This window comes from Homo sapiens, chromosome 20 (genome assembly GCF_000001405.40).
Source record: "Homo sapiens chromosome 20, GRCh38.p14 Primary Assembly".
Lineage (NCBI taxonomy): Eukaryota > Metazoa > Chordata > Mammalia > Primates > Hominidae > Homo > Homo sapiens.
This window is the reverse complement of record NC_000020.11, coordinates 54,067,925-54,084,458: the sequence shown is the minus strand read 5'-3', so window position 1 is coordinate 54,084,458 and position 16,534 is coordinate 54,067,925. Positions and strand designations below refer to the sequence as shown.

At 42.9% G+C, this 16,534-nt stretch overlaps 1 protein-coding gene and 1 non-coding gene across 15 annotated transcripts in view, besides 3 other annotated features; both read left to right on the top strand.

The window, feature by feature from the left end:
• Nucleotides 3,228–3,729: an enhancer, noted in NCBI's record as "NANOG hESC enhancer chr20:52697269-52697770 (GRCh37/hg19 assembly coordinates)". NCBI's record gives its function as "activates a minimal SCP1, AML or CMV promoter by ChIP-STARR-seq in naive H9 embryonic stem cells {active_cell/tissue: H9 hESC(naive)}" and the evidence as "EXISTENCE:reporter gene assay evidence [ECO:0000049][PMID:30033119]".
• Nucleotides 4,695–4,754: a silencer, noted in NCBI's record as "silent region_13053". NCBI's record gives its function as "represses an Ori minimal core promoter by ATAC-STARR-seq in GM12878 lymphoblastoid cells {active_cell/tissue: GM12878}" and the evidence as "EXISTENCE:reporter gene assay evidence [ECO:0000049][PMID:35858748]".
• The window catches only part of BCAS1 (brain enriched myelin associated protein 1), a 127,054-nt gene continuing 124,384 nt past the window's right edge, over nucleotides 13,865–16,534 (top strand). For all 14 annotated transcript variants that reach the window (NM_001366297.2, XM_017028111.3, NM_001366295.2 and 11 more), the window contains exon 1: nucleotides 13,865–14,026. The gene's annotated coding sequence lies outside the window, so the exon portion shown is untranslated. The remainder of the gene's footprint in view (nucleotides 14,027–16,534) is intronic.
• Nucleotides 14,272–15,146: an enhancer, noted in NCBI's record as "H3K27ac-H3K4me1 hESC enhancer chr20:52685852-52686726 (GRCh37/hg19 assembly coordinates)". NCBI's record gives its function as "activates a minimal SCP1, AML or CMV promoter by ChIP-STARR-seq in primed H9 embryonic stem cells {active_cell/tissue: H9 hESC(primed)}" and the evidence as "EXISTENCE:reporter gene assay evidence [ECO:0000049][PMID:30033119]".
• Nucleotides 15,974–16,051, top strand: MIR4756 (microRNA 4756). The gene has a single exon (NR_039913.1). It is a non-coding gene; the product is annotated as a microRNA 4756 (primary transcript).

Here is a 16,534-nt window from a genome sequence, read left to right as displayed (position 1 = left end):
TGAATGGATGTAGGGTGGATGGATGGATGATTGGATGAATGGATGGATGGATGAATGGATAGATGGATGGGTAGATCATTGAATGGATGGATGGATGGATGGATGATGATCAGATGGATGGAGAGAGGAGTGGATACATGGAGAAAGGGATGGAAGGAGAGTGGAAGGATGGATTAGTGAGTTGTTGGGTGAATGGTTAGTTGCATACCTGAATGAATGGGTTGGTAGGTAAGTGAATGAATGGCTGAGTGGATGGTTTAAGGGATAGATAGGTAAATGGCTGGAAACTTCTAGAAGGCAGCTGATAAAGGAGTGACAGGACCTTTCATCTTGTGGAATTCAAAGAAACCTAATCTTCTTCAGCTATAATTGGTCCATAAAATTCTGTACATCTATCACTGGAGAAGAAGGCCCACACCACATTTTCCCTTACTCAGAATGAAAGTTGTTTTATTTCTGGACTCTTGCCCTCCTTCAAGATGGTCTATTTACTAAGTAAATATGTTTCCTCTGGATAAAAATTCAGTTCCATGTAAATCACATTTGTGATTGATTCTGAATCTGGAACCATATCTCCCCTTGTTGCTAAGGAAAAAATAGCACTTCTCTGGAGTTTTTTATCCTTGTTCTCTGACAGGAGAATCATTTGTTTCTTAAGTTGTGGGAGCCTTGGGGCTTGAGGGGTGAAATCAAATCAACTTTGGTGGTTGATCTGAAGGATAGATAACCTCAAGCTCTTAGAAGTAATGTCCAAACTTCATTTGAATTTCAACTCTATATTTACTGGGTGTGAAGCTTGGCTAAGTTTCTTAACTTCACTAAGTCTTATTTTCATCATCTGTAAAAGGGGAACTAGGAATTATTGAAAAATAGTATACAAGAATGGTTCAAAAACTTGTGTCAGGGAACAAGAAAAATAGCATGGTGTGGTAATTGTTCAATCAGTGAGAGGCTGGTATAGTAGCTGGTTGGTGGAGTAACACAAGTAGTAATAAAAATATTTTCTTTTCAATTAATAAATGAATAACAGTCAGATAGTGTTTCACAAGTTATGAAATGCTTACCAGTGGTGATACAAAAGTTTGCACTGGGCATAAAGTGAACTTAAAATACTATTCAGTCACCAACTGAGAAGGTGAGGTAGTTATTCCCTTTGCCATTTTCTTTCAATTATCAACTAATGCTTCTGGATGTATCAAAGAGAAAGCCTTAGTTTGATGCCAGAATTTCTTTCTGGTGTTGTTTTTTTTTTTTTTTTTTTTTTTTTTTTGAGATGGAGTCTTGCCCCTATCCCCCAAGCTGGAGCGCAATGGTGCGATCTCAGCTCACCGCAACCTCCACCTCCCGGATTCAACTGATTCTCCTGCCTCAGTCTCCCAAGTAGCTGGAATTACAGGCGTGTGCTACCACGCCCGGCTAATTTTTTGTATCTTTAGTAGACATGGGGTTTCACCATGTTGGCCAGGCTGGTCTCGAACTCCTGACCTCATGATCTGCCTGCCTCGGCCTCCCAAAGCGCTGGGATTACAGGCATGAGCCACCGCGCCCGGCGATGCTAGAATTCCTTTAACATATTTTTAACAGAGTGAGCTGGCCTTGGGTGTGGATCTTAGGCAGGCAACAGAATCTAGCTAGAACGTAAGACCTTTCTTTACAGTTGTTACAGGTTTATTTTTTAATGTTACATTTTATTTGGGGGACATAATACTAATTTTCCACTTATGGTAGTCATAGTCAGTGTCTATTTTAGATACTTCAAATGAAATCGTGAGTCAATTTAAAGAAAATATGTTTTCGTTTATATGGCATGAGGAATGAGAAAAAAAGCTTCAGTGTATAACTAAAGTTTGGGAAGCCCTGCAGTAGGAGAGAGAAAACACAGATATGGCAAAACTGATCATGTTTAAATCCACCTTTGAAAAACTTGGTTTTTTTTCCTCAGTTTCTGTTTCAACCTCTCAGAGCACTGTGTGTTATTACTCCTCAGAGATGGCTTCTCATTTTCTCAGCTATAGTTCTCTAGAGAAGCGAGGATAACCCAGATGTCTACACACTATGTGAGGTGAGCTAGAAAATCTCCTTCTCCCAAGGGAAAGACAAACACTTGAAGCTCAGCTTCAAACTTCTACCCCGGGCGCAACAGGAAAACCAACGGACACCGCTTAGCAGCCAGGTCAGGGCTCACAAACTCAAGTGTCTGCAGGGGTCAGGAAGACTCAGGAAGTATGTTTGTTCAAAGTGGGAATTAATCATCTATATATATTTTTTAAACAGAGTCTTGCTTTGTTGCCTAGGCTGGAGTGCAATGGTGCAATCATGGCTCACTGCAGCCTCGAGCTCCTGGGTTCATGCAAACCCCCAGCCTCAGCCTCCCGAGTAGCTGGAACCATAGGCACGCAGCACCATGCCTGGCTAAATTTTTTTTTCAATATTTGTAGAGATGGGGGTCTTCCTATGCTATGTGATAAATATCAGGGCATAAACTCTCCAGCTAAGAGCATAGTATGTATTGGATGAAAAAATTATACTTGTTTTCAACACAGACATACTTTGTATTTTAAGCATATGCAACTACGTTTATATTAAATATTATAATTATGTTATATTAAATACATCAAACTTCTGTGAAATATATGTAACTTTTCATTTACAAGGATGCTTTTGCATTCTTATGAAGACATGGGATCTCTTATAGTGTTCTTTTTTCATATTTTGGTAGAAATAGTTCATGGTTCTTATAAATTTGCTCCAAGAAAAATGGCAGCACGAGGGTGAGGATAAATAGGCAATGGATGTGGGGCCAGCGGGGAGGGAGTGACGGAAACCAACATAAACTAAGAAACAAGTGTCCCTTTGAAAAGGCTGCCAACGCCTAGACCCAGGCGACTGTGATGTGACAATATTGCCAAACCTTTTAATTGACAAATGAGAGACTAGATCTTTAAATTTTTATATAAAGTTTCCTGATTATTAAACGTTGGCAATTGGCCAGGTATGGTGGCTCATGCCTGTAATCCCAGCACTTTGGGAGGCATAGGTGGGAGAATCACTAGAGCCCAGGAGTTCGAGACCAGCCTGGGCAACATAGGGGGATGCCATCTCTACAAAAAATGAAAAAAAAAAAAAAAATCCAGGTGTAGTGGCGTGCACCTGCAGTCCCAGCTACCTGGAAGGTTGGAGTGGGAGGATGGCTTGAGCTCAGGAGGTCCAGACTGCAGTGAGCCATGATGTTGCCACTGAACTCCAGCCTGGGTGACAGAGTGAGACCCTGTCTTAAAAAAAAAAAAAAAGAAAAGTTGGCAATTAATCCTCACTTGGAAAAAACACACTTCCCTCTAGCAACATCACAGAAGACTCATCACAAAGCTCTTGCCCCCAGCCCCTTCCTTTTATCTCTGACTTGGTGGAATGGGGAAAACTGATCTGCAAGGAGGCTGAGTGCTAGAAGATGAAAGGAACTGGGTGTCAAGAATCAATGGCTTTGGCATTTGACAAGAGATAAAGACAAATGTTCAGTCAACATGAGACAACACTTTTAATGTCACAGTCATGAAGGAAATGAAAATTACAACAGCAATCCTAATGAGACACCTTTTTAAAATTAAGCAAATACAAAATAATTTAACTGTTAACACCCAATTTTAACGTGGGTACAAAGAAACCATCCCTTTCACACGTTTGTTCATCCATTCATCCATCCATTCACCCATCCATGGAAGTGCCAAATGTAATTCTGAGTTATGGAGACCCAGCCTGGCCTCACGGAAGACCATCCAGTTGAACAGGAATTTGGCGACATGTATCAAATGCCTCTAAAATGTGACTACCGTTTGATCCAATACTTTAACATCTGGAAAATGCTTCTAAGGGAGAAGTCTAGGAAATCTGTCATGTTTATAATAGCAGAAGGTGTCAAACACTTAAATACCCAATATGGCCAGGGAGTTAATTCATCTCAGGTACTTAAACCCCTCAACCCCTATTTTAAATTTATTTGTGACATCTATGATGGAAAAAAAAAATTCCGGCTTTCGAAACAGTATTTCACAATGAGTAATATAGGTATGATATTGATACGGAAGGAAAGAAATACCAAAAGAGGATATTTCTTAGTGACAGGATTATAGATTATTATTTTAAATTTTATCCTCTGTGTGTTTTATAATAAATTTGTAATGAAAAAATAAAAAGCAGTTTTCAAAGTCTGGTTCTCAGAACACTTTGCACTGTTAAAAATTATGTAAGATCTCAAAGAATTTTTATGTGGATTGAGCGATACCTATTTACCACATTAAAAATTAAAACTAAGAATTTTAAAAATTTATATAATTTCATCTCAAAGAAATAAATCCCTTCCATTTTAACATAAATAACATTTTTATGAAAAATGATTTTTTTCTAAAAATTTTTCAACGAAACTATTTGTTTTGTTCCAAAACACAACAGGGCAAAAATAATGGTAGTTTTACATTTTTGCAAGTCTCTTTACTGTCTGCCTTAATAGAAGACAGCTGGATTCTTGTATCTGCTTCTGCATTCAGTCTGTTGCCATATGTTGTTTTGGTTGAAGCACACAAAGCAACTCCAGCCTCTTGCAGGTCTGTAGCTGGAAAAGGGAGAAGTATTTGAACAGCCTTTTTGGGTAATTGCAGGTAGTTTCTACACCACCACCAAAACCTGGCAAGTGATAGTTGCTCAAAGTTGGTTGCAGTGTGGAATCTGAAACCTATCACTGAACTTCTTTTTTTTTTATTTTTATTTTTTTTGTTTTTTGGTTTTTTTTTAGATGGAGTCTCGCTCTGTCGCACAGGCTGGAGTGCAGTGGCGCGATCTAGGCTCACTGAAACCTCCGCCTCCCGGGTTCAAGCAATTCTCCTGCCTCAGCCTCCTGAGTAGCTGGGATTACAGGCGTGTGCCACCACTCCTGGCTAATTTTTGTATTTTTAGTAGAGACAGGGTTTCATCATGTTGGCCAGGCTGGTCTTGAACTCTTGACCTCAGGTGATCTGCCCGCCTCGGTTGGGATTACAGGCGTCAGCCACTGTGCCCTGCCTGTATTGACATTCTTGAGCTCAGAAAACTCAGATTATTGTTGGACTCCTTCTACTCTTCCCTCCTTACACTCACTTCCATTGCCTACTTCCCCCACAAGAACCTTAGTAGGTGAATATTATTATCCCCATTTTGCAGCTGAAGAATCTGAGGTTCAGAGAGAAGTAGGTTACTTGAGGACACAAGGCAAAGCCAAGAGTTCAGACCAGGTGAGCGGGGCTGACTCCAAGTTCAATGTTCTTTCCACAGCTTTCTTTGTCTGGCTTCTGTCCAGACTCTTAGAGTTTAGTTGTTATGTCACCACCTGTATTTTTTTAAATAAAGTTTTATTGAAACACAGCCACATCCATTTAAACTTTGCCTTTGACTGCTTTCACACTACAATGGCAGAATTGTAGTGTGAAACAGAGACCATTTGGCCCACAAAGCCTAAAATATTTGCTATCTGGATCTTTCCAGAAAAAGTTTGTTGACTCCTGACCTAAGCCAATTACAGCAATCCTACTACCCTTTGCAGGGACTGGTTTGCGAATGGGAGTGGTGAGATCCAGTTCTGACAAGTGAGGCATGAAGAGAAGTCGATTACTCTGTCTGAGGCCTTCTCAAAAGCTTTTTCTCCCAGAAGGAAAAAAAAAGTTTCTATTTTTTCTTTTCTTTCTTTCTTTTCTTTTTTTTTTTTTTTCAACAATATCTGGGAAGGAAAGGTCTTTTGTGTCTATCCCTGCTCCGTGCAGCTGAAGTTAGGGGGAGACTGTGGTTCTAGAGCTGAGGTGGTCTTCTTGCTTTGATGAGATGAATACCTGAGTCTGGCAGAGGAGAAAATCAGAAAGAACCTGAGTTTCAAAGACACTGTTGAGCGGCTGCACCAGCCCCGGAAGCACCTTCCTGTGGATTTCCTGTTAATTAAACCGGAAATGCTCTTTTGGTCTAAGCTGCTGTCCATCACGTTTCCTGCTACTTGTGGCTAAATGCATCCTCTGTGGCTTGCCTGCCACCATTCCCTTCCCTCTAGTCCACCCTCAGCAATGCCCCCAACTTAGGGATGGCAAATTTACCAAATACAAGTACAGCACACCCAGTTAAATTTGAATTTCAAGTATATTTGAATTTCAACAATAATGAATAATTGTTTTTGTATAAGTATGTCCAATATTGTACATGAAACATACTTATGCTATGCTTATGCAGTATTTGAGACATACTTAGAGTAAAAAAATTATTTATTGTTGAATCTGGAATTCAAATTTAACTGGACTTGTATTTTTTATTGTGATAGAATATAAGGAACATAAAATTTATCTTTTTAACCATTTTAAATATACGTCTTAGTGGTATTAGGCACATTCTAAATACTGTGCAACTATCACTATTATCCATTTCCAGAACTTTTTCATCTTCCCAAACTAAACTCTGTACCCGTTAAACAGTAAGTTCCCATTCCCCTTCTGTCAGCCCCTGACAACCAACATTCTATTTTCTTTCTCTATGAATTTAAGTCTTCTCATATAAGTGGAATTATACAATATTTTTCTTTTTGTGTCTGATTCATTTCACTTAGCATAGTGTCTTCAGGGTTCATCCGTGCTATAGCTGTGTCATAATTTCATTATTTTATCAAGCAACACTACCCCAAATTCCTCACAGTGTCAGTATATTTGGTGACCCTTCAGGATAAAGCCCAGACCCCTAGCATGATACCCAAGCTCTTTCCCTGGCCACATTCATAGCCTTATTCTCAATAAAAATAATACTAAGTATTGCAATAATATCCTATATTCCAACTACTGGGCACCTGCTGATCCCAGAGCGTATGATGTATTTCCCTGCCTCTTTTCTCTCTCTGGAATTTCTATCATCCATACTCCAAGCCTCCTATCCTTGCCAATTTTCAGCTTTCCAGAGGAAGTGCACCCCCTGCAAAGTGGCTACCAAACTTTCACCCATCCTTCTACCCCAGTGGTTCTCAACGGGAAAGCTTTTGCCCCCTAGGAGTCATTTGGCAATGTCCAGAGACATCTTTTCTCATGGCAACTGGAGACATGCTCCTGGCACCTATGGGTAGAGACCAGGAATGCTCCAAACACCCTACGATGCACAGGACAGCCCCTACAGCACCGAAGATCCAGCCCCACATGGCAGTAGTGCAGAGGTGGGGAGACCTTGCTCTGCCTCAACCACCACCCTTGGCTTCTTCCTTTCTATATTACTTTTTTTATACTCCAATAATACTAATAATGATGAAAAACAGCAGTTACCTTCTGCTGCTGTACATCACAAGTTATGTACCAGGCTGTGTGCTAGACATTTCCCATACATTAAACGTCCCATCCCTATTTGGCAGTGAGAAAACAGTTCCAGGGAGCTTAAGGAATTTGCCCACATTCACATGGCATAGCTGAAGCAGAGCTGAGATCTAAACCTAAGACTGATATGGCAGGTACCATATTGTATTCAACATGCCATGAGCCATTGAGGCAACATTGACGTTGGGCTGGCATTCAGGTAGGCACTTAGGTTACAAATATAAATAAGACACAATTTTCGCAATAAAAGAAGGGTGCCCCGAGGTCAAGAGATCAAGACCATTCTGGCCAACATGGTGAAACCCCATCTCTACTAAAAATACAAAAATTAGCTGGGCGTGGTGGTGCACACCTATAGTCCCAGCTACTCGGGAGGCTGAGGCAGGAGAATCGCTTGAACCCGGGAGGTAAAGGTTACAGTGAGCCAAGATTGCACCGCTGCACTCCAGCTTGGTGACAGAGCAAGACTCCGTCTCAAAAAAAAAAAGAGGGGTGCCCAATAGTGGTGACGAAAATTAATCTCTCTGAATATATGGCTGCATCATGGTTGTACACATCTCTGTAGACTCAATGATAGCCAATTACAGTAATAACCGGTATTTCTGGTTGAGCCCTTAGTGTTTGTCAGCATCTGGGCTTGGTGTTTTCATTCCTCATGCCATTTTATCTTCAAAACAATCCTCAGGAGAGATGTTATTGTTTCTATTTTAGAGTAAGAAGATTTTGCACAACTTGATTTTGCACATGCTTGATTTTGCACAGCACAGAAGTATGAGCCAGAGTTCAAACTGGGGTGTAATTCCAAGGCCTTCTCTTAACCACTGTGCTCATCACTGGCCCCCTCACAGAGGTCAGTAAACAGCATATCATGATGGAGAACATGGTTTGAATCAGGGGAAATGGCAGGTATGGTCTTTGCCGATGACAGCAGTAAACCCCCATCCTATCTCCAGGGACAGGGATAGAGGTGAATACAAAACTGTGTTCTGTTTATTGCATGATATTCTCACACTTCAACTAGATTAGGAGGATTAGACTCTCTCCATGCACTACACTGGATGCATTCTCCATGAGAAAGCATCCAACGTAGTTCTCAAAATGTTGTGTAAGTTTTAAAATATGACCTAAAGAATCAGAGATTTGAAACAGAGATGCATGGTCAAGTAATCCACATTCAATGCAGTTTGCATGGGGTTTCTAGATTATTTGTGAGTTTTGTTACTATTTTTTATTTTCCTTTAATTATGTTGATATGTTTATGCATGTGTGTGCATATATATTACATATGCATGTGTAAATTTAGTTGTTAAGAGTGCAGGTCCTGAGGTCAGATGCTATGTGTTTAAATCCCAACCCTATCCTTAGTGACTGTGTCATTTTATTAAGCATACTGGGTGCCAGGCACTGTGCTAAGCATTTTCTGTGAATTATCTCATTTAATTCCCACACCAACTCTATAACTTGGGTGCTGCCAATAGAACCATTTTTAGGTCATAAAACGAAAGCACAGAAAGGGCAAACAACCTCCTCAAGGTCACACAGTGAATCAACTGTGAAACCAAAATTCTGTCTCAGGCTGAGTGATGCCAGACCCTGGGTTCCTAACCAAGACTGACCCTGAGTTTAGTCTTGAGAGATCTGCCCCCAGTGTTAGCCCATGGCTTAATTTAGCATAAGACATTGGTCTTCATTGAAACTGTTTCCTCCTCAGGCAAATAGATACTTCTTATGTCATAGGATTATAGTAAGGAGCATATCAGATAAAGCACAAGAAAGTGATCTGAAAAATGCCAAGTGATGGGTGGCATACAGAAAGACAAAGGTGCATGTCAGATTTCCTGTCTCAGCTGGAGCAGGGTGGGCATCCTGACTGGCAGGAGACCAGCTGTCACTGACAGGCCCTGGGTGCATGACCACACTATAATGGCTGGGTCATGCCTTCCGCTGGTTCAGTGATCAAAAACACAGCCAACATGGCTTAGCATGAGCGAGAAGCCTGGGTGGAGGACGGAATATTTGCAGAGAGGCAGGGGCAGGTCTGAAAGAGGGTCCTGGGGAGATTTCCAATTTCAGTTTTCCAATGACTCTTTTTGATTCAAAAACCAGCTCTATCCAGATTTTCAGGAAAGCAGTTTGATAACAGGAGATGACAGCCACATGTGCTTGTCAATATTTGAAGAGGGGTGGAGATCGTAAAGAGAGAAGATTAAGAGGCAAACCAAGTTGGGAGCATGATGGTGAGCACCACCTGAAGTCTGTGTAGCAAGGAGAAACTTTACTCTTAGTGAACTCCCTGCTTTGTCGACACCGGGAAGTAAATTCTTCCACCAAGAAGTTTGCACTTTTGAAGACTTGTTGCTACCTCCACCCAGGGCCCTGAGCTTGGTTTATTGCTCTACAGTTGCCATATTGAAAATCTTAACACAGCTGACCCTTGAACATCACGGGGATTAGGGGCATCAATCCTGTGCAGTTGAAAATACAAGTATAACTTCTGACTTTGCAGAAACTTAACTACTCATAAGCTACTGTTGACCAGAATCCTTACTAATAACATAAACATGTTTTCTATGTTTTATGTATTAACACGTTTTCTATGTTATATGTATTACATTTGTATATTGCATTCTTACAATAAAGTAAGCTAGAGAAAAGAAAATGGTATTAAGAACATTAAAAAGACAACGCATTCTAAGAAACATCATAAGGAAGAGAAAATATATTTACTATTCATTAAGTAGACATGGATCATCATAAAGGTTTTCTTCCTTGTCATCTTCACATTGCATAGGCTGAGGAAGAGGAGGAAGAAGAGGGGTTGGTCCTGTTGTCTCAGGGGTGGCAGAAGAAGGGAAAAAATCCATGTCTAAGTGGACTCATGCAGTTCAAACCCTTGTGGTTCAAGGGTCAGTTGTAGTGTTATCTTTGAACTTGGGTTGAGTAAGTAAAATCTGATGAGACAATGAAGCATAGTCATGAGATACAAGCAATATGCAAGTCTACTGTTCATTGCCACCTATTCACATATAACATCCATGATGCCCATGAGCAGAGAATGCCAGTGAGTTCATGACTATTCAGTAAGCCTCAAAGCAAGTAAAACACATGTGAGTTACAGCTGCAATTGAGTATGTGGAGGCACTGACACCCCAAGAGTCCAGGCTTTCCACGCAAATCAGAAATTATCTTCAATACAGAAAAAAGGCAGCACATTCTAAGAAACACAAACAACAAAAGAATCCTATCCTAGCCTTTCTTACCCAGGTTACCTCCCTGTAAGGGCCAACCACTTGTGCTGAAAATGATAACATAGCAAGACAGAAATATAGGGCAGCTTAGAGTTTCTTTTTCTTTTGATTTTTCCTTATTCATCAATAAACTGAAGATAGAGAGCATTAGTAGAATGGGTGAGTATCCAGAGGTAGAGTAAAAACAGTTGAATGATGACTTCTATGCAGCGTTTACACTGTTTTAGTGAGAACAGACTACGGGGGCCCCGTAACTAACTACAAAATACAAGTCGTATGATTTTGGTGATTCTGCCCTCGAGTTCATTGCATTTCAAACCAGCATGGCTTGATCTAAAGACGGATGGCAAAACTCACGCTGATCACTTACATTTTTATTTTTTCTTCCCTTAGAATGACTTCAAATAATAAGTAAAATACATGACAGGTAGAGAAAGAGACCAGGAAGGAGAGAAAACAGCTTTATGTTTCATACCTTTAACGGTACTTTTCCCTGCTTTTAGAACAAAGGGCTCATCGTTTTTGTTTTGCACTGGGTTCAGCAGATTATGTAGCCGGTCCTGCCTCATCACCACTCCTGACTACACCAGCTGATGCTTGGTGATGGTCTACAGTTTGCCAGACCCTTCATCACCACTCCTGACTACACCAGCTGATGCTTGGTGATGGTCTACAGTTTGCCAGACCCTTCATCACCACTCCTGACTACACCAGCTGATGCTTGGTGATGGTCTACAGTTTGCCAGACCCTTCATCACCACTCCTGACTACACCAGCTGATCCTTGGTAATGATCTACAGTTTGCCAGATCCTTCATCACCACTCCTGACTACACCAGCTGATGCTTGGTGATGGTCTACAGTTTGCCAGACCCTTCATCACCACTCCTGACTACACCAGCTGATCCTTGGTGATGATCTACAGTTTGCCAGATCCTTCATCACCACTCCTGACTACACCAGCTGATGCTTGATGATGGTCTACAGTTTGCCAGACCCTTCATCACCACTCCTGACTACACCAGCTGATCCTTGGTGATGATCTACAGTTTGCCAGATCCTTCATCACCACTCCTGACTACACCAGCTGATCTTTGGTGATGGTCTACAGTTTGCCAGACCCTTCATCACCACTCCTGACTACACCAGCTGATCCTTGGTGATGGTCTACAGTTTGCCAGATCCTTCATCAACACCCTTGACTACACCAGCTGATGCTTGGTGATGGTCTACGTTTTGCCAGACACACTGCTGAGTGCCCCCACCTGAATGATTTTTCTTAATCTCCTAAATCACTCATATCCCTAAACCTTATGTTTTTCTTCTGTAAAATGGGAGCAAAAGATCTTAATTTCACTGTGGACATAAATGAAATGGACGGATAAACACAAAAGGCTTTGCAAAGACTAATGCCATCCAAATGGCAGTTACTGCCATGTATAATTTAAAAGAGAGCAAGACAATGGGGAGTGTTAGCTCACGCCTATAATCCCAGCACTTTGGGAGACTGAGGCGGGTGGATCACTTGAGGTCAGGAGTTCCAGACCAGCCTGGCCAACATGGAGAAACCCCACCTCTACTAAAAATACAAAAATTAGCCAGGCATGGTGGTGCACACCTGTAGTCCCAGCTACTTAGGAGGCTGAGGCAACAGAATTGCTTGAACCTGGGAGGCAGAGGTTGCAGTGAGCCGAGATAACACCACTGCACTCCAGTCTGGATGACAAAGCAAGACTCCGTCTTAAAAAAAAAAAAAAAAAGAATGAACAAGTCCAATCAGCCAGGAGTTGCAGAGTACCTACTCTATCATAGAGGGATCCCCATCCTCGTTTTGCAGGGTGCCAGGAGTTGGGGATACAAGAATAGATGCAAAATAAACACAAAGGAGCACACAGCTGAGGGGGCTGACAGAGACTTAGGGAAGTACAGTAGCTTGCTCATAATTCCACAGCCGATCAGTAAGAATCAAGATCCGAGCCCTTGTCTGTCTCAACCCAGGGCCAGAGCTCAAGCTCCTGAGCCTCCAGGCTTGGGTCAGCACAGAGCGTGTGCATGGCAGCTGCTTAATAATTGGGTTTACTACATTCCAGATTGACATGTACAGTGCTGAGCTGGAATCGACTTTACAACCCTAATTACGGTGTGCCTGGTTGTGTATTCAGCATTTATTTAAATAGTATTTTTTTTCTTAAATGTTGATTTCTGAAAGAGGCCTTCCCCAGCTCTCTCTATTTCTCTCCCTTAGCTGCCTTGGCTTTTCTTTTATAATGAGAATCACACCCTGTAATTCTATGTTTATATTTACAGGATTCTATGTCCAATGACACTGAGTGCAAGAAGGGTAGAGACCCAGCATCTTTTACTCACCTCTTTAAACTCTGGCTTATATATATAGCCTGGTGCTTGACAAGTATTCATGATAGGGGTTAAGCTGAGTATACTGTTGAATAAAACCACAATAATTATTGGTCGCAATTCTCTTGAATGTCTTCTCCAGAGCACTAAGTAGTGTAACTTATCAAGTTTCCTTTCTTGCATTGGCTGTTAGGAAGCTCAAAGCCATATCTGCAAACCCTTCATAGCAAGTCTGTAAATCAACAAGAGCATTTATTTTTGATCCTGTTCTCATTTGATGTTCCAAATTTTGTTCTTCAATCTTCTTTTGTTACATGTTATTTCATGCTCTCATAATCTATTGTATATGTCCTTGTAAGACACTTTAAACAACATCCTTGCTTGAATTAAATAAATTGCATAGCCTGTCGAATTTCTGGCCTGCAAAGAAAAAGAATGCCCTTTCCAACATCATGGTATGTCTCCAGAGCAATAAACCACCCTCAGGTTACCTGATTTCTGGTGTCCAAACCCCTTTGGGAATAAGGTTTACATGACTAGGGGTAGTTGAGTGGATGAGAAGCTATTTCCTTCCAATTAGGTGGTTAGGTGGTGGTGGAGGTGGTGTTCTGAAGTCAGCAGACAGAACTACAAAATCTCACAGAACGTGTTTTCCCTGCTCTGACCATGACCTACGGTTACTGGGGAAGGAAACTGCTTCCCCAGGTCAACCCGGCAGCCTCAGTAGGTGAGGGGCACTGGGTAGAATACTTGGGGTGCCAGGGAGGCATTAATGCGAGAGGAGTCAGGTGCTCAGTTTTTATTGGAGTTGGGAGGGCAGCCCCACATCAGGAAGAGAACCTGTTTCTGCAGGATGGTCCGGGGAGAAGGGAGGACTCCACCCAGGCTTGTGTTTGCCCTGCTCTGTGTATTCAGCCAGCAGGCTCTGCACAAGGAAGCAAAGTGCAGGGAGCCAGGCTCCACCGACAGCCAGGCACTGGGCAGCACGCACTGGAGACCCAGGACCCTGTGCAGGAGCAGCTCCGGGTGACACGAGGGGACTGAAGATACTCCCACAGGGGCTCAGCAGGTAACTGCTTTCAGATCCTTTAGGCATGGCTGGAGGGTTTGCTGTTTGTGGTAGACGGTGTCATATAGAGGCCAGGGGTCAGACAGGGTCAAGTTTGATCCCAGCTCTGCCTTCTGTTCACTGTGTGGCCTTGGATATGTGTAAGCCTCAGTTCCACTATCTGTGAAATGGACCCAAAGATAGCACTCATCTCAAAGTTTTTAGTTTTACAAGGAGCAAATGACAATGTGGTCAGTGTTAGGCGCATAGCCACATAAATAACTCCTATTTGGTGGAACTATTGAGGGTCATTTCAAGCACAGGACATGGGGAGAAGTCACTGGATGGAGGGATAGGCTGTGTGATTTGGGGATCCGTCAGGGCAAGAATGCCCCATAGCCGAGTGGAATCTGAGCCTTCACCTCAGGCATTGCCTAAAGAAGTGGGAGGACAAGAAAAAGGACTTGTGGAGTGCCTTTTGTGAATCTTATTTAACGCTCAAGACCACCCTATGAGGCAGCTGCTGATTCAAATCCTGGCTTCAGGACCCCTGCTGTTTACATCTCCCTCTGAACCAGTTTCCTGCCTGGAAGAGTCATTGCGATTAGAATGCGGGTGCGCTGCAGCCACACCGCCAGATGCCAGCCCCAGCTCCACCCTGGGCTGGCTGGGTGCCCTGGAGCAGGTTCCCTCAGCCCTCTGGGCCTCAGTTTCCTCATCTGTAAAGTGAACCTAATAACAGTACTGAGATCAAAGGGCTGAGAGGACTCTACTGCCCGTAAATACCTGTGCACTTAGTAACTCTTAGCTGTGGTTCTTGTTTTCGCTGTTACCATCGTCTCCATTTTACAACTAGGAACATGAAGCTGGGTGAAGAGGGAGCTGCATCTGGTTCCAGGTCTCATGGAAAGGATGCTGTGGAACTGGAGTCCAGTCGGGCCTGGGATGAGGGTGCAGCCAGTGAGACTCTCACCTTGGGCACGAAATGTAAGGGATGCCAAAAAACTCAGTCATGGAGATAAACGGTATGTTAACACAACATTTTTAAAAGTCAGAATTAATGGCAAGACACCCGTGATGAACAAACTATGAACATGTTACAGAAAGATAAGATCAGGAACAGCGGTAATTTTGATTTTCACAAATTTCATGTTAAAATACTATTCATCTCCATGGCTGAGCTTTTTGGTGTCCCTTACATTGTTCCCCCGGAGTCCAGGGCCTGATCCGCCTCAGCCTCCTGGGGATCCTGAGCTGATCACAGCAGCTTCAGGCCCTGGGTGTATATACTCAGGGTATGTAGAGGGTGCTTCCTCCTAAATAAAGACAACAGACGGGGCGGGGCATGCTAAAGTAGTTTCTCATTTAAGTGAGGGTGGGGGAACAAACCAATGTCCCAAATCACAGAAGATTCTTTTTTTCCAAAGAGTTCTGGAACCCAGAAGGGTTTTGTTTTTAGGAAAAAGGCATGAGCTTTGGGAAAAGCAATGGGCCCGTTAAAGCCCATGGATTCTGCCTGCTTTACCATGACAAGAGATGTGGAGGGAGAGGAATTGAAAAAGGCTTTGGGTTGGGGGCGGGGGTACCTTTGCACCTTGCAGGCTCATCTGTCCTGCTGGAGTATTAGATGTGACTTGATTGTCTCTGTGTCTGCAGCTTCTCTTCAAGCCAAGTGCCCTGCCCTGAAGCAGTTCAGGATTTGAGTGCCTGAGTCACGTGGACCCAGGTTCAAACCCCAGGTGTGCCTCCCCGTAGCTTTCTGACTGCTACTCTTGGGCAAGTAGGACTAGTAAGGTGCCTACCCTCATGGAGGTGACGTTCGTGAGATGAGGGGATGGCATTGCTCAGCCTTGGTTTCTTTATCTGTGCAATCAGGGAATAATGGGACTCTGCAAGGGAAAAGGAGACAATGTGTGTGAAGTGCCTGGCACCAGGGTCAGGGCAAGGGTGAAGCCAGTGAGCACCTGGGGGATAAAATGCAGGGAGGCGCTCACTCTCTGCTGCCGATTCTGCACCAGAGATGGTTGCCTTCCTATATTTTGTGTCCTGCTATGCTCACCCTGGTGCTGCCTGGCACATAGTAAGCCTCCAATTAAAATTACCTGCGATTATCATGCACTTAACAATGTTTGGTGCAATAATAAGACTATGAGAGCGAGCTCTAAGATTTTTAGGATTACCATCCGTTTGTGCAAACATAATTAAGTACTCCGAAAGCAAAACATCAATCACCAAGCAGCCCTAAAACATCCAAGGTGATTTTGATCAAGGCACCCCTGCCCCTGGACCCACAAAGTCCCATACCAGGAATCAGGGCTTGGGCAGTTCAGTGAGGACTGGATTTCAGTTCCCTGTGTCCCCTTGTACAGGAGGCAACCTGTAGCACTGTACCTGGCACTCCTGATAATAGCTGCCGTGTTCCTAGCACTGTGCGGGCACACACATGGAGCTGCAGGACTGTGGGGCAGGCAAAGCGGGGTTGTTCTTTCCTCCTGCAAGGTCTTTACTGATGTTGGGGGCAGAGGGCTG